We start from the raw sequence: 27,622 nt of genomic DNA on the forward strand, positions 1-27,622 counted from the left end.
TTGTCTCAGTCTCAGTTTCCACATGGGTTTTATAGGTACACTGGTAATACCTACCCCGTGTTTGTTATATGAGGATTATATAAAGAAATCATCTTGGCTCAGTGAATATATTAGCTGCTTATAATAATTATTGTTATTAATTATTAATATTAATTTTCCCTTTCCTTCTCAGGCTCTTTTATGTTCTTGCTTGTGGCTCTGAATTCAGATGTCTGAGTAACCTTTTAGCAACTCAGATCTGTCCCTGCGTTTCTCCTCTTTGTAAGACGTCAGTTCTGGTGCTGCTAACATTCACTGCAGCCCCTCACTCTCTTTTTTATCCAAACATTTCTGGTGTACAGAACACATGCTTCTGGATTTATGGTGGGGGCTGGTGAAGAGAAGAGAGGAGAACGAAGTCTGGGGCTGTTGTGTGAAACAGCTTGTTCTTCCTGCAGATTTATTTCTATTATTTCCTAGAGTTTTCACACTTGATCTTACATGAATGCATTTTGTAATTTTACATTCTACTTTATGATTTATTCATGTGTGTCCTAATATTACAATCAACCATATCTTGATAACAAATCTTCCTGTCCAACTGGCCTGTTGGGAGTGTGCACCTGGTGTGTCCTGTATGTCCAGGCACAGCCCTGCCAACCCATCAAAATACATGCACTGCAGGTTTATGGGAACTTCAGTGTGTACAAGACACGCCTGAAGAGCTGGTCAAAACATGAGACTCTAGACTCTGCTTTGAGACACAGACTTAATGTGTCTGTGAGGGCCTCAGGAGTCTGTATTCTTTACAAGGTGCCCCAGTGGGTGTGATACAAGCTGGCCTGTCTACATGGTGGGCCACCTGTAGTGTGCTGAGTGTGCTGTGGACCACCTTTGGAGAAACACCAGGGAAAGTGATGATGCTTGAAATCCTTGATCCTACCTGCTTCTCTTCATCTCAGGCCACTGCCCGTACCCAGTACCCCCAAATTCTAGCCTCCAGGAATGATCCAGCCACATTAACCTTTTTGTTTTTGCTGTGTCTGACTGTGTCACTCCATTTGCTTGTACACTGTGCCTGCCTTGTCTAAGGGAGCATTCCTGCTCATCCTTCTGAGGCTCAACTCAGTGGGGACATCTGTTCCTCTGGGAGCTTAGTGTAGCATGGTGGTTAACAGGTGGGGAGCTCTTAAGGTCAAGGGTGTCAGGGCTAGTCTGCTTTCTACATTTACCAGCTGGGTGAAGGTGAACAAGTTCATTGATCTCTCTCAGACTGTTTCCTCCTCTGTAAAAGAAGGAATAACTAATGGTACCTATCTTTAAAGGATGACTGTGGGATTAAGTGAGGCAATACCTGTAAAATGCCTAAGACAGAGTTAGTAGTCAATGACTCTTTTTGTTATTTTATTTTATTTTTGAGACAGAGTCTCATTCACTGTCTCACCCAGGCTGGAGTGCAGTGGCATGATCTCTGCTCACTGCAACCCCTGCCTCCGGGGTTCAAGCAATTCTCCTGCCTCAGCCTCCTGCGTAGCTGGGACTACAGGCATGCACCACCATGTCCAGCTAATTTTAGTGTTTTTAGTAGAGATGGGGTTTCACCGTGTTGGCAAGGCTGGTCTCGAACTCCTGGCCTCAGATGATCCGCCCACCTTGGTCTTCTAAAGTGCTGGGATTACAGGCGTGAGCCACTGTGCCTGGCCCTTTTTGTTATTTTTTAATGTTTTTATTTTCTTTTAATTAACGTCCTGATTGTCTCATCTGCTAGTCTGTGAGCCTCTTGACAGTGGGGAACAGTCCTCAATAATTTGTGTATTTCTGTTATTTATAACAGAACCTTGTGTCTAAAAGATAAACACACACACACACACACACACACACACACACACACACATTTTTAAAGGAGCTTTCAACCTGCTGGGAATTCTTGAATGAACAAATGCACTTTATGAATTCCCTAATCCTTTTCTTTGCTATTTTCACCACTTTCTCATTCGAGTTAATCTCTGAAGACATAATACCCTGCCATGGAGCCTCATCCCTGCATGGGCTATTTGTCACATCCAGGCTTATATTGTGCTGACTAGGCCTTCCGTGTGACACCCGCTCCCCATTAATGATTGACTGACAGTGGGTGGCCAATGTGCTGAGTCAGCACCCTGGGGCTCACTGGCTCTTCCCTTATTGAAGGGGAAAGGAGTAACTTTATCTTTTCAGTTAATGGGAAAAAAAAGCCACGGGACCTTTGTCATCCATTCTGCTGGGTTGCGGAATATGATCTGTGTGGCTATGTGTGTGTATGTGTGTGTGTGTGTGTGTGTGTGTGTGTATAAAATATACTCTCTGATTAAAGCACCAAAGTTACTGCCAATAAGCTTCAGGATAAGTAGAAAAGATATTAGTTTAAAAGACTGAAATACCACCAGTAGAAAAATAAAACAATTTTTCAGCAAACCATAAAAAAAAAAACTATTGGAAATATGTAAACTGCTGTTCTCTGGAGAATATTAGCATTTTAACACACATGGCTATCAGAAGAAAATCTTTGCATAACTTAGGGAGGTACTTAGGAACATTGCAAAATTTTAGGAGATCCCTCAAAAGGCTACACCTAAAATTGCCTTATGATGCAGCATTTCCATTCCTATGAATACACACAAAGGAACTGAAAATAGAATCTTGCACAGATACTTGTATACCAGTGTTTATTGTAGAATTATTTGCAATAGCCAAAAGGTGGAAACAACCCAAATGTCCATCCATGGATGAATGAATAAATAAGATGTGGTACATATATACAGTGGAAAATCATTTGTCCATTATAACATAATAAAATTCTGACATGTGCTATAATATGGATGAACCTTGCAAACATTATGCTAAGTGAAAGAAACCAGATATAAAGGGACAAATACTATATGGTTCTACTTCTAGGGATACTAAAGTAGTCAAATACTTAGAAACTGAAAGTAGAATAGAGGTTACCAGGGGCTGAAATGTGAGGAATAAGGAGTTATTGTTTAGTGAATTCAGAGTCTCAGTATGGGAAGATGATAAAATTATGGAAAAGGGTAGCAGCGATGGTTGTATAACATTGTGAATGTACTCAATGCCACTGAACTATTCACTTAAAAATAGTTAAAAGTAATTTCAGCACTTTGGGAGGCTGAGGTGGGTGGATCATTTCAGCTCAGAAGTCCAAGACCAGCCTGGGCAACATGGCAAAATCCCGTCTTTACAAAATATACAAAAATTAGCCCGGCATGTTGGCACATGCCTGTAATCCCAGCTCCTCAGGAGGCTGAGGTCCAGGGATGTCTTGACCCTGGGAAGTGGAGGTTGCAGTGAGCTGAGAATGTACCACTGCCTGGGCAACAGAGCGAGACTCCCTCAAAAAAAGAATAGCTAAAAGGTAAATTTTATGTTAGGCATATTATATCACAAGAAAAAAATACAAGGAGAAAAGCATATACCGCTTAAAAAAATGAAGTCTTGCTTGGCCACAAAGGTTCATTCCCTTCATGGGGGGCTCATTGGTTTCTAGCTGCCCTCGAGTGTGAGACATAGGCTGGAGACTGGTAACTCGTGGGCTGGAACTCACCCTTCTGGGTGTTTTGTTTGCACCACACAGTTTGTATTATTTGTCAGCATTTCACTAAGAGGTATTTGGCATCAAAAACTGAAACTGGATTCCCTTTTATGTTGGATGGTTTGTCCATGCTGGGTCCACATTCTCCTTTGCTACCCAGCTCCCTCTAAAGAGAGTCTTCAGTCTCCATGGGCACCTGGGCCCTACAGAAGCTTGCAGTTATAGCCCCAGCGTGAAAGTTTTCACTCTGTCTCAGAGCTGACCCTCTGCTATTGGAGTCATTGCCTTTGTATTGTAGGATTTGATTATTGTAATGTAAATGAGCCTAAGATGACCCCTAGGGATTGACCCCTGGGTTATTTCTTCACTCCAGACTGGGACCTGGTAGCTGGAAAGCCCATTGTTGCCTAACTCAATTTTTTCTTTTTTTTGAGACAGTCTCCCTCTGTTGCCCAGACTGGGGTGCAGTGGCATAATCTCGGCTCATTTAAACCTCCACCTCCCAGGTTCAAGCAATCCTCCCACTTCAGCCTTCCGAGTAGTGAGGATTACAGGCATGCACCAGCATGCCCGGCTAGTTGTTGTTGTTGTTTTTTGTTTGTTTGTTTGTATTTTCAGTAGAGACGGGGTTTCACCATGTTGGCCAGGCTGGTCTCAAACTCCTGACCTCAAGTGATCTGCCCGCCTTGGCCTTCCAAAATGGTAGGATTACAGGCATGAGTCACCGTGCCTGGCGCCAATTCAATTTTTTAATACATCCAATTATTTTTTAAAAATAGCCCAAACAAGCAGATTTTTAACCATCTACAACCAGCCTGCTTTCCATATTTCACAGTGCCTCACCAGCCTTACCATTTGGTGAAATAGGTCTTTGTAGTTACAAGGCTCCAAGTTGAGCCAACGCTTTGGAAGCCTCCAACCCAGAGACTCCCCAAGGGGCTGCTGAATGACATCACCTAGACAAGTGATCCCCTCCTCAGAGTTCCCCATCCTCCACATCCACTGCTGGATGATGACTTGCTCACACAAGCCTCTGGATGGTCTCATACTGTAAGGGACATTGTGCAGCTCCCTGTGCATGTGTTACCTCCTCTTACAGTCATATCTTTGTCAAGCCCCCAAATCCTTAAGTTCCCTACAATTATTACAATGTTTTTTTCTTATATGAAATTATAAATAATAAGTCACTAGATGGAGGAGGATAGAGATGGAGGAGAAGAAGAGGTGGGTCTACTTAAGAGGGCCTTTTTCTCCCCTGTTGAGATAGGAAAAGCAATAGAATAGGTGTTGGGAATGCTCTTGTTTGCCAGGGCCAGGAGAGAGCATCTTGTTTGTCTGCTTTGGGTACATGGCTAGGCCTTCCAAGAGTCAGCCTCATACACATTTGCTCTTTGATGTTTTACAAGGGGCCCTAAACTGAGGATAACCCTTGGAGAGTTAAACAATGTGAATGCCATATGCCTGGAGTGCACTTCTCATTGGTCAAGGATTAAATTCATGGGAATCGTGTACCCAAAGCAGATGCAGCCTCATTGTAGGTTCTGAATCCAGGGTGAAAAGGCCTTGGGAGCTGACTGCAGTCAGCAGAAATGCGTGTCTAACCTGGATTGATGGTTCTGGTTGATCAGGATTTGCAGGAAATAGAGTAATGCAATTACCATCCTTGGCTCGCTCTCTGTGGGATGTTCTCACAGATCAGTGGCAAAGGGTTGGTAGGCTATTTTCCTCCCATTGTATTGTGAGATGTACAAACCTTCCTACTGATACTGCCGGGGAGAGATTTTCTGAAGGATTATGAGGCTGCTATTTAAAAAAGTGATTTCCAGTTAAATACCTTTCAGTATTAAAATGGTAAAGCTATAAGGAATGGGGGGATAGTCTTCCATAATAATTGCTTCTCAAGGAGCTTAGTCTGATTGTCTTATTAACAACTTTAACTTCATCCTTTTCCTATGACAAATGAGAAAAGAATTCTGTGATTCATTGAACAGTCAGATTTCCAATATGGTGTTTACTTGCATTTTCGTTTCCACTTCAGCCAGGAAATCAAATCCGAGGGATTAAATACCCCATTTGAAATGTAATGGAGAATTACACCAAAAAAGGAAAATTCACCCACAAACTAGAGCAACTTCATTCAAAATTTCAGATAGTCAAGAGCGCCAGCGCATCGAGGAACAGTGACCTAACCTTCGCAGGCCGTTGGTGTTAGCCCTCTCTTACCTTCCTACTGGTGCCATGAAATTCACTTTCTGGCAGTCATCATAGCTAATAGTGGCCATGCATTGAATGCGCACTATGTGCCAAGTCTGGTGATTCTTATTTTTTTTTAATTTAAATTTTACAACTCTGTGAAGTAGATACTTCCAGTGTCCCATTTTAGAAGAAGGAATCAGACAAAGATAGTTATGTAATATGCCGAAGATCACAGACATAGTACATGGTAAAGTCAAGTTCCAAACTATCTTCCATATGGCTTTAGACTGTAATCCAAGTCAGCATTTATGTGCATGCTACCAGGTCAGGTATGATGGGATGCCTCTTTTTACTTAATATGTATATTCTGGGGGTCTGGCTCCTCCCCTGGTTTTCACTAGAGCAGGTTTTGTTCTTTTTTTACACCAGAACTCTCTAAAACCCAAAGGCATAACATTCACATAATAGTCAACATGTATGTATCTCAAGGGTCTACTAGAGACCAGGTAATGAGCTAGGAGCTGGAGGAAGGAAAAGACATTAAAAACAATGGTCCTGCCTTCATGAGGCTTACACTCTCCTGAGAAGCCAGCTTACAAAGAAGCAAACAGCTCAGAAACAGGTTATGCCTTATGCCAGGTACTAGGAAAAAAATCAATGTGGTTGTGAGATAAAAAACAAGGAGGGTTTCATCGATATAGGATGGTCGGGGAAGGCTCTCTGAAAAGACGGTGTTTCCACTAAGGCTTAGAGAGGGGGAAGGAATCAAGCTGGACCCACATCCATGGGAAGAACATCTCAGAGGTAGCAGCAAGTGCATAGGCCTCAGGTTAGGAACAAATGTGACCTGTTGGAGAAACTGGAAGGATGTCAACATGGGTTGAATGGAGTAAGAGGGTAATGAGGAGGACTGCCCTAGATGGAGTCAAAGGTTTGGGTTTAAACAGCAGAACAAACCTATTCCATATCTCAGATTATTTTGTCTCTCTCTTTTTTTAAAAAAAAAAAAAATTGTTTTCCAGTATTGTTTTTCTCCTGTTTCACCTTATTCAAGCACCTGCTCTAGTTCCCATTATTTTTTTTTAAAAATTGCTCTCTGTTCATGTGGACCTTTTAATTCAAGAAATGTTTGAGCATTATATGCCAAGCCCTGACGTAGGCAAGGCAGGGATTTGAAAGATGTGAAGTGATGTGTCTGTGGGCCTTAGAAACACGTAGCTTTGAATTCCGAAAGTGAGAATTAAGTTGACCTTGCAGAAATGAATTGCAGGTTAGGTGGTGGTAAGTCTCTAAAGAAGATTCATGTGGGACCTTTTCAAATAATTCTGTTCTCCAGTCAATTTTAAACCACCCTGCGTCCCAGCAAGGACAGTTTATGGCTTTGTTCACATCATAGATTTAGAAATCAAGACCTAAGAAAGGTCACACCATTAAATAAATGTTCAACACTCCGGGAAAAATGGGATGTTAATAACAAATTCTCAGTTGAGTGACATTGACTTGCTACTTTTGTAACAGCTACTTTGGTTTGCATTTGTAAAACCTAAAAAAAATTTTTTTCTTTACTTTTGTTGGAGAAAAGGGAAGTTTTTGACCTGAGCATTTTCTCACTTCAGAGAATTGAATAAGGGAAGCGTGCATTGATTAATATTCTTGGGGGTGCTAGAAATGTATCTGAAAACCTCTCCAGTCTAGTGTTTCTCAAATTTTAATGTGCTTAAAGATATCTGGAGCTGTGCTGTGAAGTCACTAGGCACATGTGACTTCTCAGTACTTCTGAATACTTGAAATGTAGCTAGATGAAATTGAGGCATATCTCTAAAATGCACACATTTGAAGAGTTACTATGAAAATAAATGTAAAATATCTTGACAATTTTTGTATCAATTATTCAATAGAATAAACTTTTGATATATTGGGTTAAATTCAATATATTATTTAATCAATTTCATTTATTTGTTTTCACTTTTTAAATAAAATGCAGCTATTAGAAAATTTAAAATCGTATATATCTTACATTATGTTTTTATTTTACCCTATTACTCTAAGAAGACTTCTGTGTCCAGCCATGATGCTACAACTGATACCAGGTTGGTCCTCAGACTGAAAGCAATGAAATACCTAAGGCTACTCTTTTTAAGCATTGATCAAAAGGCAGCTCTGTGATCTTGGAGAGAAGGGAGACACCTAAGGTGAGCCTCATGAAAGCTCTGGCTTTCTGTCCAGGAGCCCTTTTCTGCTGCAAGGCAGGTAGTTGGTGCCAAGCACTGTGACGTTCTCACTGAGCTGAAGATTTGAAGAGTAGAGTTCTGGGATTCTGAAGTGGAATCGTTTTGGGGTCAGGTGCCACAAAAGAGGAATATGTGCAGGGGGAATGCTCATAAGTCTGCATGGAATTTTACAGCTGGTCCTTGGCTGACTATCCATGTCCAGGGTGACAGACTTCACCGGAGATCAGAGATCAGTTGATGCAGTGCTCTGAGCTAGATGGTAAAACAAGAATCTGTGCAGTGCTGGGGCACTTGGGATCCAAGCAACCCAGAGTTGGGAGACCTTATGCAACACCTTGTGCAATCAAGTGGAAACCCCAGAATGCCCATGCTGAGGACTAAGTTCCAGTTTCACTAGAATAAGACCATGCCTGTTGACTAAGTTCAAGATGGAAACAGACCCACCTGACAAAGGATAAAACCTAGCACAACAGGATCAAATGACACTCTAGTCATTTAACCACTTGCATGAACAAAATTCAGCACCTTTCAGAAGAAAACATTATTAGCACAATCTGGATTTCTATAATGCATTATGCATCTTGTTCAACATACCACAAAATTTATTAAACATATGAATAAACAGGATCATGTGACCTATAGCAAGATACAAAATAAAGCAAACAGAAACAGACCCTGATGTGTCATGGATATTAGAATAATCAGAAATGACTTTAAAACCACAATTGTAAATATGTTGAAGACTTAAAGAGAAGATTGTGTTACTTAAATGAATAAACAAGGGATCCCAGGAAAAAAAATGGAAGTCATAAAAAGGAATCAAATGGAAAGTTTAGAAAGGAAATGTAAAATATTTGAAATAAGCAAGGCACTTGAACAGTTTAACAGTAGATTGAAGACTATAGAAGAAAGGACTAGTGAATTTGAAGACAGAACAGAAAATTATTCAATCTGAAGAATACAAAAGGAAACAAAGGTAGTAAAATAAACAGAGTCAGAGATCTGTGGGAGAGTATCAAGTAGTCTGATATATCTGTGATTGAAAGCATAGAGGTAGGGAGGAGAGAGAGAATAGGATAGAAAAAACAGTTGAAGTAAGCGGTGAAAATTTTCCAAAGTTAATGAAAAACATCCATTTACAGGTCCAAGAAGATTAGTAGATCAGGTTAAATACAGGTAGAATTAAAAAAAAAAAAAAGAACTAAACTCAGACATCAGTCATATTGACGAAAAAAAAAAACCATAGATAATATTGAAAACAGCCAGTGAAAAAGGAAATATAAAATGCAGGGGATGAATGGTACAAACAGTAACTGATTTCTCATAGAAACTGTGGAGGCCAGAAGACAATCATATGACATCTTTAAAGTTCAGAAAGAAACAAAACAAAACACTGTCAACACAGAATTGTATGACTGGCAAAAATATTCTTAAAAATTAGGTGAAATAAACACATTTTCATCTAAAGGACAGTAGAGGGAATGTGTCAGCAGCACAAGAAATGCAAGGGACATGATCAAATATGAAAGGAAATGAGAGCAGAAGGAAGCTCTGATATAATGAAGTAAAAATAGTTGAAATGGTAGACACATAGGTCTACCATAGGTATATTAATGTATATGCTTTCACTTCTCTTAATTTATTTGGGGAAAACAGATAGTTTACAATAAAAATGATACAGTTTTATTCTTGGGTTTGTTAAGTATACACATGTAAGATTTATGACTACTGTGCAAATGTATGATGCTGAGTAGGAAATACAGTTTTATTATAGTTTTTATATTTTAACAGAAGCCACATAATATGAACTGTAAAAAGATTCTGATAAGTTATGGATACATATTGTTTATCCTACCATGCCTAAAAATGAATAGAATATAGCTTTAAAAATAAATGTATATGTAATGCAAAAAGGATTTGCTTAATAAAAAAGAAGTCAAGAAATAAGGAATAAAATGAAACATATGGATGTGAAAACTAGAAGGCAAAAGCTTGAAAGACAACCATAGAAATAATTTCACCAAGTGCAAGTGGACTAAACACTCCACTTAAAGAGCAGAGATTGTCAGACTATAATAAAAAGCAAGAATCCGTTATTTGCTGACTACAAGAGACTCGTCTTAAATACAGAGACACAGTTAGATTGAGTAAAAGAGTGGAAAACTATATCCCATATGAATAGTAAGGATAAGAAAGCTGGTGTGTCTGTATTACTGTCAAAGTTGACTTCAGGGGAAGAAGTATTAGCAAAGTGGAAAAGAGACATTTCAGAATGATCAAATGGTTAATTCATGAGGAAGATATAACAGCCCTAAATATGTATGCTGCTAATAAACAGCTTCAAAATACATCAAGCAGAAGTTGACAAAACTAAAGCCAGTAATAGATAAATCTGCAGTCATAGTTGTAGACAAATTTGCAATCAACAACTCTCTCTGATTGAAAAAACATTCATAACCAGATCAGCAGTGATGTATGCACTGATGTGGATGAATCTCATATACATTATAAAGAGCGTAAGAGGCCAGATAGGCATGCATACTCTATGTTTCCATTTATATGATGCTCAAGAGTAGAAAAAACAAATTTATGGTGAGAAAGTTCAGAACACTCATTCCTTTAGAGCTTTGGGTTCTGACTAGGAAGGGGCACCAGAGGACTACCTAGTGTGATGGAAATACTCTGTGTTTGATCGGAGTGTTAGTTATATGTGTGTACACATTTATCAAAAGTCTTTAAATCTTTATTAGCCTAAGCCCCATGTATTGCCACTTGTTTTTGTAAACAAAATGTTATTGGTACTTTGCTGTACTGATTTATCTACGTATTGTCAAAGGCTGCTTTTGCACTAAGGTAACAGTTGAGTAGTGGAGATAGAGACTATGGCAGAAAAAACCTAAAATATTTATGATCTAGCCCTTTCTAGAAAGCTTACTACCCCTTGCTCTAGAGTCACTTATTTAAATGCAGCTTCTGAAAGTCACCCTCTAAGATTCTGATCCAGAACATCTGGAACAGAGGGAAGCATCTCCAATCTATTCCACTCCCCAGATGACTCTCAAGTTTATAAAACTGTGTGGACAGAAGTTGCGGAATTGCTCCTTTCAAGATTCACCATATCAACATAGTAGCTACTCTCTTTGGTCATAAAGGTATTTTACTGACTAATCTCATTGAATCACTCTGGAGTTATAAAAGCCCATTTCCTCCCCACTGGCCTTCCTTGGAAAGTGAGAAAAATTCCTTCTCATCATAGTTATGTAATCATCCTTCATAAATGTGGAGAGGCTCACATGTGCTGCTGGTGGTAACACATTCTCCTGCCACTCTCTGGCTCTCTGTAGGCGGCTGTTTGAGAGGTTAAAGATAGGATGAAGGAAAAATTCACAAAACACTTTGTATGCACGTCTGGCGGATAATGACACTTAAGAAGCTTTGCTTAAAACTGATCTGCCTTCGTGATGATTTGAGCTTGCTCTTTAATTAGCTTTTAGGAGCATATATTGTTTAGTATGATTATTTTATTTTGCCAAATAGAAGCTTAACACGCTTTAGTTCACAAAGGAGCGAGATCTACTTTATACCAGCTTTTAACGACCAATTGAGAGAGAAGAAAATGTCTGACTGCCCTGGAACCTTTTTCCCCATGGGTGGTATGTGACTTTAAGATTTCACGATCATGGGGGACACTTTCGGCAGCAACAGCAATGCTCAGCAAGTATTCCCTTGGCTCTTCTCTATTTCCAGCCCCCTGGCAGTTAGGTGGAGCTCTGTGACTAGTTTTGCTCACTGAAATGTGTGACTTGTCCATTGTTTCTTCTAGCATAGAATCATGCGAATGCATGATGCAGTTACCACAGCATGTAGATACCACAGATACGGTTACCACAGGTGTGACATGAAGCAGCTTGAATTCCTGAGCTAGTTTTACTGAGCAGGAAATTGATGTTTGTTGCGTTCATTTATCGAAGTCTTGGAGTCACTTGTTAGTATGGTATAGCCTTCTCTTTCCTGACCAGTACGGTACCTACTGCCATAAGTTCAGTTACTCACTGGGGAACATAGTCCAGGAGTACACGTGAAGCTAGTAAAAAGGCACCATTTCAAATTAGCGAAGGTGGCATGGACTGTGAGTTAACAGAGGAAGGAAAAGTGACTGTATATTTGGGAGGAAAAAGTGAGATCTCTTTCTTCAACTATGTAAAAATAAGTTATATCCCAGCACTTTGGGAGGCTGAGGCAGGCGGATCAGTAGGTCAGGAGTTCAAGACCAGCCTGGCCAACATAGGAAAATCCTGTCTCTACTAAAAATACCAAAATTAGCTGGGCATGGTGGCGCATGCCTGTAGTCCCAGCTACTCACTTGAACCCAGGAGGCAGAGGTCGCAGTGAGCCGAGATCATGCCACTGCACTCCATCCTGGGCAACAGAACGAGACTCTGTCTCAAAAAAAAAAAAAAGAAAAGAAAAAAAAGACTATTGCTTTTCAAAAGGTCTCTGCTGTGCATTATGTTGTGTAATTTTTTTTTTTTTCTGAGAGACTGCCTCAAAGGATGCAAGTTATTCGTCTCCATGTCATTTTAAAAATGTCTTCTCTGGAGGTATCTGGATGGAAGAGAAAACTTCTGTGATGCTGGGGCTCAATTCTCTTGGGGCTCTCTATAAGACAGGCCATTATATCAATTGCTACATCTAGCATCTCCTGTGCTGACAAAAGTCCCCTGATTGCTCCACTGCCCTGCAGAGTTGATTGTGCTATCTTCCTCGCTTGCCTGATACTGGCTTCCACGTTGCTCTCTCTAGCATGTGGACTTCAGAGGCAGAGCCTGCGTTCTTCATTTTTAGTGCCTATCAGGCATGTGGCTGGCACTGAACACAGGGTTCTGAATGAATAAATAAATGAAATGCTTCTACCACTTACATTCCCTGCCTCTTGGGATGGCACCATGCCCAGTGCACCACCCTGATTTAAGTTAGTGTCAGTCAACCCTGCCTTGATTCCTGCGATCACGCTATGTTTACTGTTACCCCTCCCCATTAGTTCTTTCACTGAAGTCAGGGAAGATCTGTTTAAAATCCATATCTTATTTCACTCCCTACCTAAAACCCTTTGGTGGCTTCCCATTGCTCTTTGAATAAAGGCCCAAGTCTTTAATGTGCCACATAGGACGCCATCTCTGCATCCTCACCTTGCTCACACCTGGTAGTCAGGAAAGATTTATTCCTTACAGTTGCTGAAACACACCCTGGTCTATCCTGCCACAGGGTCTTTGCCTGTGCTGTGCTTCATGCCTCATGTGCCCCAAGCAATAGTACACACACACACACGTTTGCTTACCTAGTCTACTTCTAAATTACTGTTTAGACCCCAGCTCAAATTAGGGGACATTCCTCTTTTATATAATTTGTAATTTCTTTCTTTTCTTTTTTTTTTTGGAATTGGAGTCTCATTCTGTCACCCAGGGTCAAGTGCAGTGGCGCAGTCTCGGTTCAGTGCAACCTCTGCCTCCTGGGTTCAAGTGATTCTCCTGCCTCAGCCCCCCAGGTAACTGAGATTACAGATGTATGCCACCATGCCCAGCTAAGTTTTGTATTTTTAGGAGAGACAGGGTTTCACCATGTTGGCCAGGCTGGTCTCGAACTCCTGACCTCAGGTGATCCACCCACCTCAGCCTCCCAAAGTGTTGGGATTACAGGCGTGAGCCACCACACCCAGCCTAATTTCTTTCTTATAGTATTCAGCACCCCTTGTTTGCAGCAGATATTGTGGTTGCAGTTTTACGTATATTTTTACGGTTATTGGATTCAGGTCTGCAAGCACAAAAGAGGATTTGTCTGGTTTCAGTGTAATCTTGCACCCCAAGAACCGATTACAGGATCTGATGGATATCCACTCAACAAATAATCTTGTGTAAATGAATGTCTTGTTAGGGGTATTGTACTAGTTCCCTGCCATCCAGGGATGCATAGTAAATCTGCCTGATCCTGTGAGCTCGGGGAAACCTAAAGCTTTCTGCGGGAGTGGTAGGTACCAAAGACATGACATTAGTTCTGCCCTACTCAGAAGGTATGGGCTGGGACAGGCAGTGAGGGGGTGAAGGAGACTAACCGTGAACTGTCAGTGCCCCCTGTGGCCCAGCAATCTTTGTGCTTGAACTCAGAGTATTTTTTTTTTTTGAAATGGAGTCTCACTCTGTCACCCAGGCTGGAGTGCAGTGGTGTGATGTCGGCTCACTGCAATCTCCGCCTCCCGGGTTCACGCCATAAACTCAGAGTATTTCTTATGTGAGGGGTCCATTCTCTAGCATCTTACCCCAGGCAGGCCATTTTTTTTTTATTATTATACTTTAAGTTCTAGGGTACATATGCACAACGTGCAGGGTTGTTACATATGTATGCATGTGCCATGTTGGTGTGCTGCACCCATTAACTCATCGTTTAACATTAGGTATATCTCCAACTGCTGTCCGTCCCCCCTCCCCTGACCCCACTACAGGCCCCGGTGTATGATGTTCCCCTTCCTGTGTCCAAGTGTTCTCGTTGTTCAATTCCCACCTGTGAGTGAGAACATGTGGTGTTTGGTATTTTGTCCTTGCGATAGTTTGCTGAGAATGATGGTTATGGTAGTAGGTTTTCAGAAGCCATGCTTCAGTTCTGACTGGCTAAGCATTCAGAAATGGGTCCTAAACAGCAAAATATAGATGGCATTCCAATGCACCCACAGAAGAGGTTTTCAGCTGCAGAACAGGCATTCTGAGTTAAAATATCTGGTTGTTTTCTATTGGAAAGCATTGGCTGTACTTTGAAACTCTTTAGGCTTCATTCTGATAAGAGAATGAGATGACAAGGTACCATAGAATTCAGTGCAGGTATTATTATTATTTACATTTTGCATTTAGCTTGTTTTAATGAGGAAGAGTGGTGGGAGTGTATAAAATTTTGCCACTTGTCCTGAATCCCATCATCATTTTGAGGCAAATTGGAGGGATCACAGATTCAACAGGGTCAGGTGTGAATATGGGGGGTATTCATTGGATATTTGAATGAAAACATTGGTCTGTTTATTTAGGGTTTAAAAGTATGACTTAAATCATTGCATTTAAGTGTAGGTAAATCAGAATGTCTGAAAAAAAACCATGAACACTAATAGTTAATGGAACAATGACTAATCATAAGGAATAAAAAGTGGGAGTAGATTTAAACAACAAAAATCTCAAGTGTGGCTGAAGGTGGCAGGGGAATTCCTGGAGATGGCACTCGTTTCGACTTTTTTTTTTTTTTTTTTTTTTTTTTTGAGACACAGTCTTGCTCTGTCGCCCAGGCTGGAGTGCAGTGGCACGATCTCAGCTCACTGTACCCTCTGCCTCCCAGGCTCAAGTGATTCTCCTGCCTCAGCCTCCCCAGTAGCTGGGAGTATAGGTGCCCGCCACCATACCCAGCTAATTTTTGTATTTTTAGTAGAGATGGGTTTTCACCATGTCGGCCAGGCTGGTCTCGAACTCCTGACCTCAAGTGATCTGCTTGCCTTGGCCTCCCAACGTGCTGGGATTACAGGCTTGAGCCTCTGTGCCTGGCCTGTTTTGACCTTTTTGCCATTGACTTTAGGTACTTTGTTAGACCATTGCTAAGCTCGCGATGATAACACCTATTAGAGGAAGTCTTCTGAAAGTAAGACCTGGAGATTCGGAGGCGATGTGTACTTGCTTCCCCAGCAGTCCAAGGTGTATGTCCTGCCCTCCTCCGGCAGGGCCACTACCATGCTGGCTCCCCTTGGTTTAGGCTTGACTTTGCCTTTGATACAACCTTCCCCCAAGGCACCCTGTAATCGCAGTTGAGCCGTATTCCAGATACGTGTGAGCCATATGTCTCAGGTGTTGCAGAGTAGGAAACAAGTTGAGACATACTGAGGCAATTACAGAAAAAAAGAAAGCATGGAGAATTGCGGTGATAAGGGCTTACGCTTCATTTTTTATGCTGTCTCTTTTCTGACCATATTTTAGATTTCCTAGAAACTACCCATTATTATGAATGCCTGAGTTCTGTGCATTTCTTCAGAGCTCAAGTCTAAACTAATTTAATGTAAATTATACATTTGCAAGTAATATTCCAGAAAAACCTTTATGGGGCCCACAAAGACAAAATGCACAAAAGGAAATGATGATGTGTTTTATTCATAAGGAAGCATTTCTCTTCAAAATTCTTCTACAGCCCCCCAAAATACCTAATGCATCACAAGCCGACATTTGTACTGCTGGCTTTCCATACACAGAGAAGTACTGTTCCTTTTAATCAAGTAAGTTTATTTTGCTGTGAAACCCTTTGTATAATATTGAAAAATAGTTGTGTTCCTTGGAAGCTATTTCAGTTTTCTGAAATGATCATTTTTAATCAGTCTCCTAGCAAAACAATTTACCAAGCAGTGGAGGATAACGAACCATAAAGTTTAATTTGCCTTTTTTAATTGAGTTGTTAATTATCACCCCTCCACCGCTGGAAACTCCCAACTTGCTTTTTTGTTTTGCTTCTGATCCGAGACGTTTTCAAGAATCTAATCTATCATATTTCCTCTGTCCAGGTACTTTCATGAATCACATCAATAGGTGATTATTTTCTAAATCTGTTAAAGCTTCCACAGTTGCGTACAAATTTTGTCAGTGGTAAATAATTAGATAGAAAACATCCAGTGGTGGTAAGTTGATAAAGATATCTGCCATTTATTGAATTCCTACTATGTGCCAGATGCTGATCTAACTTCTTAACATATATTATTTATCTTTCACAGCATTTTTGTTTGTTTTGTTTTGAGATGGAGTTTTGCTCTTATCGCCCAGGGTGGAGTGTAGTGGCGTGATCCCGGCTCACTGCAGCTGCCTTCTCCCAGGTTCAAGTGATTCTCCTGCCTCAGTTTCCTGAGTAGCTGGGATTACAGGCACTGGCCACCACGCCTGGGTAATTTTTTGTGTTTTTAGTAGACACGGGGTTTCACCATGTTGGTCAGGCTGGTCTCGAGCTCCTGACCTCAGGTGATCCGCCCACCTCGGCCTCCCAAAGTGCTGGGATTATAGGTGTGAGGCACTGCGCCTGGTCATTTTTTTTTTTTTTTTTTTTTTTTTTTGACAGGGTCTGACTCTGTTGCCCAGACTAGAGTGAAGTGACACAATCATGGCTTACTACAGCCTCAACTTCTGGGGCTCAAGTAATCCTGCCACCTCAGCCTCTCAAGTAGTTGGATGTATGCACCATCACACCTGGCTAATTTTTAAAATTTTTTGTAGAGACAGGTTCCCACTATGTTGTCCAGGCTGCTCTTGAAACTCCGGGGCTCCAGTAATCCTCCTGCCTCAATCTCCCAAAGTGTTGGGATCACAGACATGAACCCGTACACCAGGCCTTCACAGCATTTTGAGGTACAAACAGTTATCTCCATTTTATATGCAACTAAACTGAGGTTCAGTTATGTTAAGTACCTTTTCCATCACAATCCAACTTATCAGGACTGGAGCAACGCTTCAATCCTAGGTGGTCTGGCTAGTGGCCTCACAGGTTATTTGTTTAACCCTAAGCTGTATTTTTGAGATCCCTGATGTCAAACAAACCTGCATTTGAATTCTAGTTCTATCGTTAATATTGATATTAAATTAACAGAATATGACTTAGGGCCCATTTGATGGGTGTGCGGTCTGGGCCCCTGCCCAGCCACACCCTGCACTTGGTTTGATGTTCTGCTGTTGCCTTTCTGGCAACTCTAAATCATTTTGAACAAGGGGGCCCCATGTTTTTATTTTGTATTGGGTCATATGTAACATAGGTAGCCAGTTCCAATACCATTATTGTTTTAACATCTTTAGAGGCTCATAAGGCTGAAGTCAACGTGTCAGCCTGGTTGGGTTCACATATGGTGGCTTAACTGGTATAGATCTACTTCCCTGCTCATATGGTAACATTCAGTTCCTTGCAGTCATAGGATTTGTGGCATGTTTGCCTTTTTAAAGCCAGGAAGGGGAGAGAGAACGACCAGGGCAAATCTGCTGGGAAGATGGAATCTTATGTCAGATAACATAATAATAGGAGCACCATGGTGGCTCACACCTGTATTCCCAGCACTTTCGGAGGCTGAGGCGGACAGATCACGAGGTCAGGAGATCGACACCATCCTGGCTAACATGGTGAAACCCCGTCTCTACTGAAAATACAAAAAATTAGCAAGGGTTGGTGGCAGGCACCTGTAGTCCCAGGTACTTGGGAGGCTGAGGCAGGAGAATCGCTGGAACCCAGGACACAGAGGTTGCAGTGAGCCGAGATTGCGCCGCTGCACTCCAGCCTGGGCGACAGAGTGAGGCTCCGTCTCAAATAAATAAATACGTAAAAGAGCAGCATCCAATCACCTTCGCTATATTTTATTGGTTAGAAGCAAATTACAGGACTTGCCCACACTGAAGAGGAGGGAGTCATACAAATGTGTGAACATCAGGAGGCAGAGATTGTGGGGCACCATCTTGAAGTCTGTTACCTGCAATTATTATTATTACTATATACAGTTATTAGTGTTGTTTTTATTACCGCTATTGTTATTGATAGCAGTTCTATAGAGTACTGTGTCCCAGGCTCTGCTGTGTGAGCTTTATGTGAATTAAAGCTTTCTGTGTTCAGCAGGGACCATGGTCCTGAGGACTGAATCCAAGGACATCCCCTCTCTGCCCACTGAAATCAGTAGTTTTCAGGCCAACTAAGCATGAGGCAACTGTTATTTTCCTGAGTGATACGATCGTTTCAGGAAGTATAAGGAGGTGGAAACACAGAATTCTGCATCACACAGACCAAGGTGAGGTCCCAACTCTGCTGCTTTCTGGCTGTGTGGTCTTGCCCAAGTCACTTTCTCCATGTGGGATGTTCCAGGAGACTTTTGACCACCCGCTGCAAGAGAAATCTCTTACAACCTGCCCATTCAGCACAGTTCAGCCTGAAGAGAGTCATGTGTTTGTATTTAAGATACTATTACCCTGCTCAATCCCAAGAGCCCACTGGTCTCAGGCTCTGCATGGTGTTTGAAACAAAAAAACACAATGAAGAAATGGAAAAGTTATCCCCCAAATTGTCAGCACCCATGTAACTGCTTTCTCCTCTCCTCTGTGATTGTCCATGAATATAGATTGGCTTGGCCATGCCATCTTTTCTCTACTAGCCTCTTTCTTGCTCTCTTCCTCACTCTTTCTGTTTCTTGGTCGTTTTTTTCTTGATTTCTCCTTATGTATCTGTTTTTGTTTCTCCTTCTCCTGTCCTGTTCCCCATTTTTATCCAAATGCCATGTCAGTGATTCTCCCTTCTCAGGAGGAAGGAAGCAGAAAAGGGTGGACAAAGGAAATAATTGAATAGAATTCCATCAGTCTCTCTTAGCAGGTGTATCTCTGAAGCTCTTCAAAGATGGTCTTGATGAGAGCAGAGGAAGGAACTGCTCCTCTCAAGATTCAGCTGGAAAAAATACGGAATATTGTGTTAATTTGTCTTACCAAATGCTCTTCTCCCCACGTTTTCCCTTTGATTTCTCTGAATGTTTGGGAGGCATGCATTTTGCTGCAGAAGAGAATCAAGTCTTCTTACACCATCTTTGTTAAGATACTACTGTCTGATAATTCGTAAACTTCTAAGGTTTTTTTTCCACTGGAAATGACTTTTTTTTTTTTTTTTCTTTTGAGACGGAGTTTCATGCTTCTCACCCAGGCTGGAGTGCAGTGACTCAATCTTGGCTCACTGCAGCCTCCACCTCCTGGGTTCAAGCGATTGTCCTGCTTCAGCCCCATGAGTAGCTGGGATTACAGGCATGTGCCATCATGCATGGCTAATTTTTTAATATTTTTTTTGTAGACACGAGGTCTTGCTGTGTTGGCCAGGCTAGCCTCGAATTCCTGGATTGAAGTGATCCACCCATCTTGGCCTCCCAAACTGCTGGGATTACAGGTGTGAGCCCCTGTGCCCAGCCAGAAATGCTTCTACTTTCTCCTGTAGGGTGGCCTGTAGCAGGATCATCCATTCACATTCCCAAGTATCCTCTGTTCATTCACCTGGGCAATGAGAGGAGCAACAATTAAGCCAGAAAAGATTTGCTGCCTCCCTGTCTTGATCCCAACTCCTTCCCTCCTGTCTGTGTAACTTGGATCTCTTACTTGTCCCCTTTGTCAAGGATAGAGTCAATCCCATTCCTTCTAGTAGATCTTCCCTTCTGGCCCAGGAGTACCTCATCCTATAAGCAAAACATCTTTAGCATCTTTCATTTCTTCAAGCTGTGTTTCCTTCTCACTTCTGAAAAAAGAGCAATCTGTGGTTTGGTTTCTTATCTCTGGTCACCCATTTACTACCCTTTTAATCTGAGTGCTGTGCAAATAACCATCTCACAGGTGACCAAGGGACACTCCAGTGGTCAATGTGTAGTCTCAGCTCGTATTCTCCCCAAGCTCTCTGCAGCGTCAGAGGACACTGACCCACACTGTGACTTGACTCTCTGCCCTCCCACATTGTTGTGAGACTGGAGCTCTGCGTCATTTTCATCCTCTTAATTCTCTGTGTCCATCCCCATGTCTTCTCTCTCAGGCACAGGCTAAATGGAGGTGGTGCTCCTGAACTTGACCCTCCTTTGTCTTTTTGCATTTCCCTGCAGTACCTTAGCCCATCACCATGGCCGCTGCTTTTGGAGCACCTTCTAAATGTCAGCCTCTTTTCTCAGTGCCCTCCATATGTAAACCCTTCTAATCCTCCCTAACACTTTATGAGATAAAAATGAGGGTTGTTCTTTTACAAGGGCGATACGGAAGAGCTGAGAGGCTATTCCTTTCTTTCAGATCTCTGGGCATAACCCTGACTGCTCTCTTAGATTGTCTTTGATTTCTGCTTGTCGCTTGTCTCCTCCCCCTGGGTTATCTGTTAGGGACCACACTCAAAACCAAACTCACCTCCATTTCTCTTCCAACTATGTTCATCCTCTGCGTCCTGTGGTTTTGTTCATATACTGCTCTAAGTTCCATTCAACACTTCCTACATCATTTTTGTGACTTCCTGTCTTTCCCTGCTTGTCCAATCCACCACTAAGCTGTGTTTATTTCACTCCCAAATATTTTCCTTTCTAATTTCTTCCAAATTCCAAAATATTCTTTTCAGCCCTCTTTAATTCTCTTACTGTAATATTACAATAAGTTTCTTTTAAAATTAATTTCATTTTTCTCCATTGTGTAATTATTGTATGCTGATCTATTTGGAGAAAAGGTGAAAGAACTCTTTTTTAAAAATCTGTAATCTCAGCACACTTTGGGAGGGTGAGGCAGGCATAACACTTGAGGTCAGGAGTTCAAGACCAACCTGACCAACATGGTGAAACCCCATCTCTACTAAAAATATAAAAATTAGCCAGGTATGGTGGCTCATGCCTGTAGTCCCAGCTGCTCGGGAGGCTGAGGCAGAAGAATGGTTTCAACCTGGGAGGTGGAGGTTGCAGTGAGCTGAGATCATGCCACTGCAGTCCAGCCTGGGTGAGCTCAAAAGAAAAAAAAAATCTATAATCTCATCACCTGGAATACTGCTTCTTGCTTCTGGCCTGTCTTACTTCTCGATCCCTGATTAATTTCTCTAAAAAATCAGCTTTTCTATATAACCCCCTTCAGAGATCCTTGTTGCTGCTGCTGCAAAAAAAAAAAAAAAAAAAAAAAAAAATCCAACTCTTTTTTTTTTTTTTGGAGACGGAGTCTTGCTCTGTCACCCAGGCTGGAGTGAAATGGCGTGATCTTGGCTCACTGCAAGCTCCACCTCCTGAGTTCACGCCATTCTCCTGTCTCAGCCTCCCGAGTAGCTGGGACTACAGGCGCCCGCCTCCGCACGTGGCTAATTTTTTGTATTTTTAGTAGAGATGGGGTTTCACCATGTTAGCCAGGATGGTCTCGATCTCCTGACCTTGTGATTCGCCCGCCTCGGCCTCCCAAAGCGCTGGGATTACAGGCGTGAGCCACCATGCCTGGCCAAAAAAATCCAACTCTTTAGAAAAACACTCAGAACATTCCAAGTTCCCCTAGAAGATAACTTTCAGGAAGGCAATGGCTCTGCCTTTTGACCAGCACATAGATGAATGCCAGAAACAGAGTGAGTACTGATTGGTTGAATGAATGAGTGAATGAAGGAATGAGTGAATGAGGAATCCATTTACCTTCTCTAATCTCTGGCTTCATCTAGACCAAATTACTGCCTTCTCCTAAATTGTTCCATATTTTCCACTTCTTCTCACTTACTGTTAGTAGCTGAGATCTCCTCCTGTCCATCTCCTTTTTGTTTGTAGATCGTCTCTGTCATTCAAGACTCAACTCATTCTTCGGGGCTTCCTCAAAATTCCCCTGATGTTCTCTGACTGCAAGGAGCTCTTCCCTCTCTTCCCTCCTCTGTTACTCCTGAAGCAGTTTTTAGTTTTCATTCTAATTCCTTTCTCCCAGCTCCTGAGCAAGGTAATAGTATTTTTTCAGCTCGGCTCTTGGTAGATATTTAATATTTGTTAAGTGCATGAGTTCATGAAATAAATATTTGGGATAATGGAGCTGAAGTTAAAACCAGTAAGCTCCACTTACTTCTGTGTCTGGGCCACACTTTGTCCAAAGATTTCCCTCTTAACGTTTTTGTTTACAAATGCTCTTCAGGAATAACTTGTAAGAGAAAGGAGCTGTCATTGAGTGCCTTGAAAAGTGGAATTGCATGTTTCTATGGAAACAGAGTTGAGAGCTGAGTTTTCTGTACATGATGTTTTAATGAAAACATATTCTTAGCCATTATAGATGGGTTTGTGTACCAGATGAGAAGTGCTTTATCTTAATTGACCATTATGTTCATAAGTCAGATTGATGGTCTCAAGTATTATTTCATCAAATCACAATGCATTACTGTGGTTTCCTTTCAGGAGGTGATCCCAATGCTCACAAAATGAAGGCTGTCCTTGTTTGTGGAGGAAAATGTTTCTATAGACTTGCTGTTCTTCCCTTTGCTATTGAGAAGTGGCCTCTTTATTTATAGCTAAAGGACACTTACCATAAGCATCCAAGTGATTCTGTTCTCTCTTGGAGGATGATAATTGCCCCAAATCATGCATGTATCTTATATCATATGAACAATTGTTAAGCAGTTTTAGGGACTCCAGGATGGTGGTAGCAGCGGTAGTGGTGGTGGTGATGTGGGAAAGCTCAAAGTTTGCTCCCAAACTCTTAAGTAGAAGACTACCTGTGCACCTGATACTTTTGCTTTTCACTTGTGTGTTTGTTGGTTTTGTTTTTTAGAGACAGGGTCTTGCTCTTTTGCCTAGGCTGGAGTACAGTGGTGCATTCACTGCTCACTGCAGCCTCAAACTCCTGGGCTCAAGCGATCTTCCCACATCAGTGTCCTCAGTAGCTGGGACTGCAGGTGTGCAACACCATACTCAGCTATATATATATATATATATATATCTCTACCTACCTACCTATGTTGTCCAGGCTGGTTTCGAACTCCTGGCCTCCAGTGATCCTCTTGCCTCAGCCTCCCAAAATGTTGGGATTACAGGTGTGAGCCACTGTGTGTGGTCACACCTACCATTTTTGGTTTGTACTAGTTCTGAAGCATGTATTCCTATAGCATGGATCAACAAATTAGACTCTACAGATTATATCCATTAGAATGCCATGGACTATAAGTGCTGGGATCATAATTAGAAAATTATTCTCTTTTTAATTTTCTGTTAATGATAATTTATTAGGCATATTGTTCCTATCCAGAGATGGGCTTCCTGCTTCAGTTTGTGGCAAATTTAGGGTACCATTTTGCTTACCTCTTGGAGATCTCTTTTAATGCAGAGATCTAACACATCATTCTCCTCAAGTACCTTTTAATAGGAAATTTCCCAATAAACCTATTAAAAGCATAATGAAAACCTCATTCAGTCTTCTGTCAGGCTTTGGAGCTATAAGTGGCTTCTAATTTGCACAAGATCGGAATAGCATTGAAGAATTACAGTAACTAAGTGAAACATGCATTGGATTTTCAATTTTCTGATAGCATCCCATGTAATTTCTTGTAATGCATCTGTAGCCAAGGGAGGTGACACATGTCAAGGCTCACGCTGCAGCTTCTGCCCACATCAGTCTTCCGTGGAGAAGCACGATGCTGTCAGCTTTTCTCATGAGCAGGGGCCAGATAGGTGTCTTTGTTTAGCCTTGATGGATATTCCATTATGCACAGTCCTCTGAGCAATAGCCACATAATTTAAAAACAGCTCAGATAGATGTTTTTGATGCTTGACATTTGACTTCACATATTTATTGGAACAAACTGTGAATCATCCCTCTTATGCAAGTGCTTGACAGAATAGTTTGTCCACCTGTGGTCTGTTGTACCTGTGGAGTCTATTTGTATTCTGGAAAATGAATTCCCTCTAGGAAAAGCCAAGAGAAGTCCTGGACATCATGGCTACAAGCCAGTGAGATAAGACCCTGCATTTTATTTTTTTTAATCATAGTATCTCTTTTTTTTTTAACTTTAAAGTTCATGGGCACAAGTGCAGGTTTGTTACACAGGTAAACTTGTGTCATGGGGGTTTGTTGTAAAGATAATTTCATCACCTAGGTATTAAGCCTACTGCCCATTAGTTATATTTCCTGATCCTCTCCCATTTCCCACCCTCCACCCTAGGAAAGGCCCTGGGTGTGTTGTTCCCCTCTATGTGTCCATGCATTCTCATCATTTAGCTCCCACTTATAAGTGAGAGCATGCAGTATTTGGTTTTCTGTTCCTCCATTAGTTTGCTAAGGATAAAGGCCTCCAACTCCATCCATGTCCCTGCAAAAGACACAATCTTGTTTTTTTTAATGGCTGCATAGTATTCCATGGTGTATATGTACCATATTTTCTTTATTCCATCTGTCATTGATGGGCATTTAGGTTGATTCCATGTCTTTGCTATTGTGAATAGTGCTACAGTGAACATATGTGTGCGTGTGTCTTTGTATTATAATGATTTCTTTTTTGGGGAGTATATACCCAGTAATGGGATTGCTGAAAATCCTATATTTCCTTTGGCATATTTCATTTTATCCAGATGAAATTATCCACTTTCCCTCTTAGAGAGCCTAAATGTTTGTTTTTAACCTGAAAGAGGGAGTCTCTTGTACCTTACCTGTAGTATTTTCAATGTTTATGGCATACGTCCATTATTTAAAACCTCAGGAGGAGAAAAGCCAGTAGTATATTTAAAAATAGACTAATCACAGTTTGCAAAGGAAAAAAAGAAAAAAGAAGCCAACCAGACTTTGTAATCATTAAAATAATTAATGGTGTTGCTTTTCTTGTATGTGGCCTTGACAAGACTCTCTCACTCCTGGGGCAGGTATTTTGACTGATTTTTCACCTGACTGAGGATGAATTTGCACTAATCCAGCTCTATACTCTCCCAGGATCTCCTTTGTGACCAAAGGCATTTATTTGCAAGGTAGCAGTGTGGAGGTTAAGATGATAATCTAAGGCCAGAGACAGCGTCCAGCTAATTGGCTTTACATGGGGATCCAAGCTGTGTTCTAACTATGGTGCTTACGTAGCCTGAAGCACCTTTCTGACCCTTTATATCACCCCGAAAACAGCAAACATTTGTTGAATTCCCATGGGTCTGGTGCTGTGGGAGGGGGTGGAGGCAGGAGAAGCCAGGAGAGACTCAGCTTGGCACAGCAGGAGCTTCTTGGGTGCTCACAGCAGATAGGAATCCACGCTTCTTTTTAAAATACACTGAAGAAAATATTATTTGAGTCTTTCCATTTTTAGCTGTTCAATGGGTGATAATGGAAAGTAAGTCCAGATTAGCCTCCAAAATTGTAGATCAGCTGTTTTCAACCTCAACACTATTGACATTTGGGGCTAGATGATTTTCACTGTGGGAGCTGTCCTGTACATTGTAGGATGGTTGGCAGCCGTAGATGCTGGTAAAACCCCCTCTAGTTATGACAACCAAAGAGTGCCTTGGCTGAGAACCCCTCCTCTGGATGGCTTCCCAGTGGCTACTGATACTGGCATTTTCTGCTTTTAGAGAGAGTAGGTGACTGTTTTCACAAGTGTAAAATATAAAGTCCTTAGGACGATGCTGGGCATGGAATAGGATTCAAAAGTAAAAGGGCAAACTTTTCACTATACTGAATCAAGCTGTTATTTTTTTGAAAGTGATATCATCATCTTTGCTGTTCATTATACCTTTACTGAACCTTCCGGAGTGTCCCTGTCTTAATAAAGAAGTGAGCATCGTCTAAGTACTGTTTTGAGCTTTAAGTGGCGATTCAAGCTCCACCTCGTTGCAGAAACATGGGCAGTAAAACTGTTAGTATCTGAGAGGCATCAAGAAATGGTAGACGATTCTGAAGCATGGCATCACGTGGCTCTTCATGTTTATCTCGCCACAACATCCTTAGCTCCTCCTCCTCCCACTGGTCGTGCATTAAAGCTTCACCACCCCAAGGGCCATCTGTAGACTCACTGCATCAGCATCGCCTTGGGAGCTTGTTAGAGATACAGAGACTCAGGCCCCAGCTTCCACCCACGGAATCAGAATTTGCATGGATAGAGAGCCAGAGAAATACTTTGTTGAAGGGCCTTTTCCATCCCACTCCAACTGTTACCTAAAAGGACCTCTTCAGAGCCTCCTTTCATAGATATTCTGTCTTGCTGGCTGCATGCTCTCTTAGCGTCCTCTGCTGGCCGCTGTTGATGGTGGTGATTGTTTTTCATACTTTTCCTTCCTTACCATTCTGTGCTCTCATAAGTACAGGCCAGTTTTGCTTTTCTGTGATCCCAAGCTATGACCTAACACAACCCTTTCCCATACAGATCCAGTCCCAAGCACCCGGGAGCATTCCAGGGTCCCTGGACATGGTTCTGCAAAACTCCTAGCTACTCAGCATGCCAGAATTCTAATTCACTCATGGGTCAAAGCCAGAGAGGCTGTGTGTCCACCTCTACACATATGTACCCATGTTGAATTTAAAGGTCCCCAATAGGAGCTACCTCAAAAACACCCAACAATTAAAACTAGAGGGGATGGGGGCAAGAAAGATGAAAAGAAATTGATTTTCAAGATGCCATCAAGGTTGGGGAAAAAAAGAAAAAAACAAGGAATGGAAGGGACATCAGACTTAATGCCTCCTTGAACATGTTACGTTCAACTCAAAAGCCTCCCCAGTCCTCGCACCAAAATCTTTCCCAAGTTTGTAATTGGTGTCACCATCCACTCAGTTGCTGAAATTAAAACCTAGGCATTATGATTGATTCCTTCTTTCTCCTTTCAGTCTATCAACAAATTGTATGTTTCTACCTTCAAAATAAGAATCTCAAATCCCCCCACTTCTAGTCATCTCCATTGCTATGACCTTGCCTTCAGTCCCAGCTCTCAAGGGTCTCCTACAGCCTTCTCCTAAATTGATCTTCCTGATCCACTGTTGCCATTCTCAGACCCTCCCTTTGGCAGAAGCCAAAGGCTGGTTTCTAAACTGGCAGTGTAGACTGGGCACGGTGGCTCAAGCCTGTAATCCCAGCACTTCGGGAGGCCGAGGCGGGTGGATCACCTGAGGTCAGGAGTTCGACACCAGCCCGGCAAACA

The 27,622-nt window shown here is 41.7% G+C and overlaps 1 protein-coding gene across 16 annotated transcripts in view, besides 1 other annotated feature; it reads left to right on the plus strand.

Moving 5' to 3' along the window:
- RBFOX1 (RNA binding fox-1 homolog 1) overlaps positions 1-27,622 on the plus strand; it is a 2,473,620-nt gene that overhangs the window by 880,803 nt on the left and 1,565,195 nt on the right. The window lies entirely within an intron of this gene.
- Positions 3,594-4,111: an enhancer, noted in NCBI's record as "NANOG hESC enhancer chr16:6174118-6174635 (GRCh37/hg19 assembly coordinates)". NCBI's record gives its function as "activates a minimal SCP1, AML or CMV promoter by ChIP-STARR-seq in naive H9 embryonic stem cells {active_cell/tissue: H9 hESC(naive)}" and the evidence as "EXISTENCE:reporter gene assay evidence [ECO:0000049][PMID:30033119]".

This window comes from Homo sapiens, chromosome 16 (genome assembly GCF_000001405.40).
Source record: "Homo sapiens chromosome 16, GRCh38.p14 Primary Assembly".
In the NCBI taxonomy this organism is placed as follows: Eukaryota; Metazoa; Chordata; class Mammalia; order Primates; family Hominidae; genus Homo; species Homo sapiens.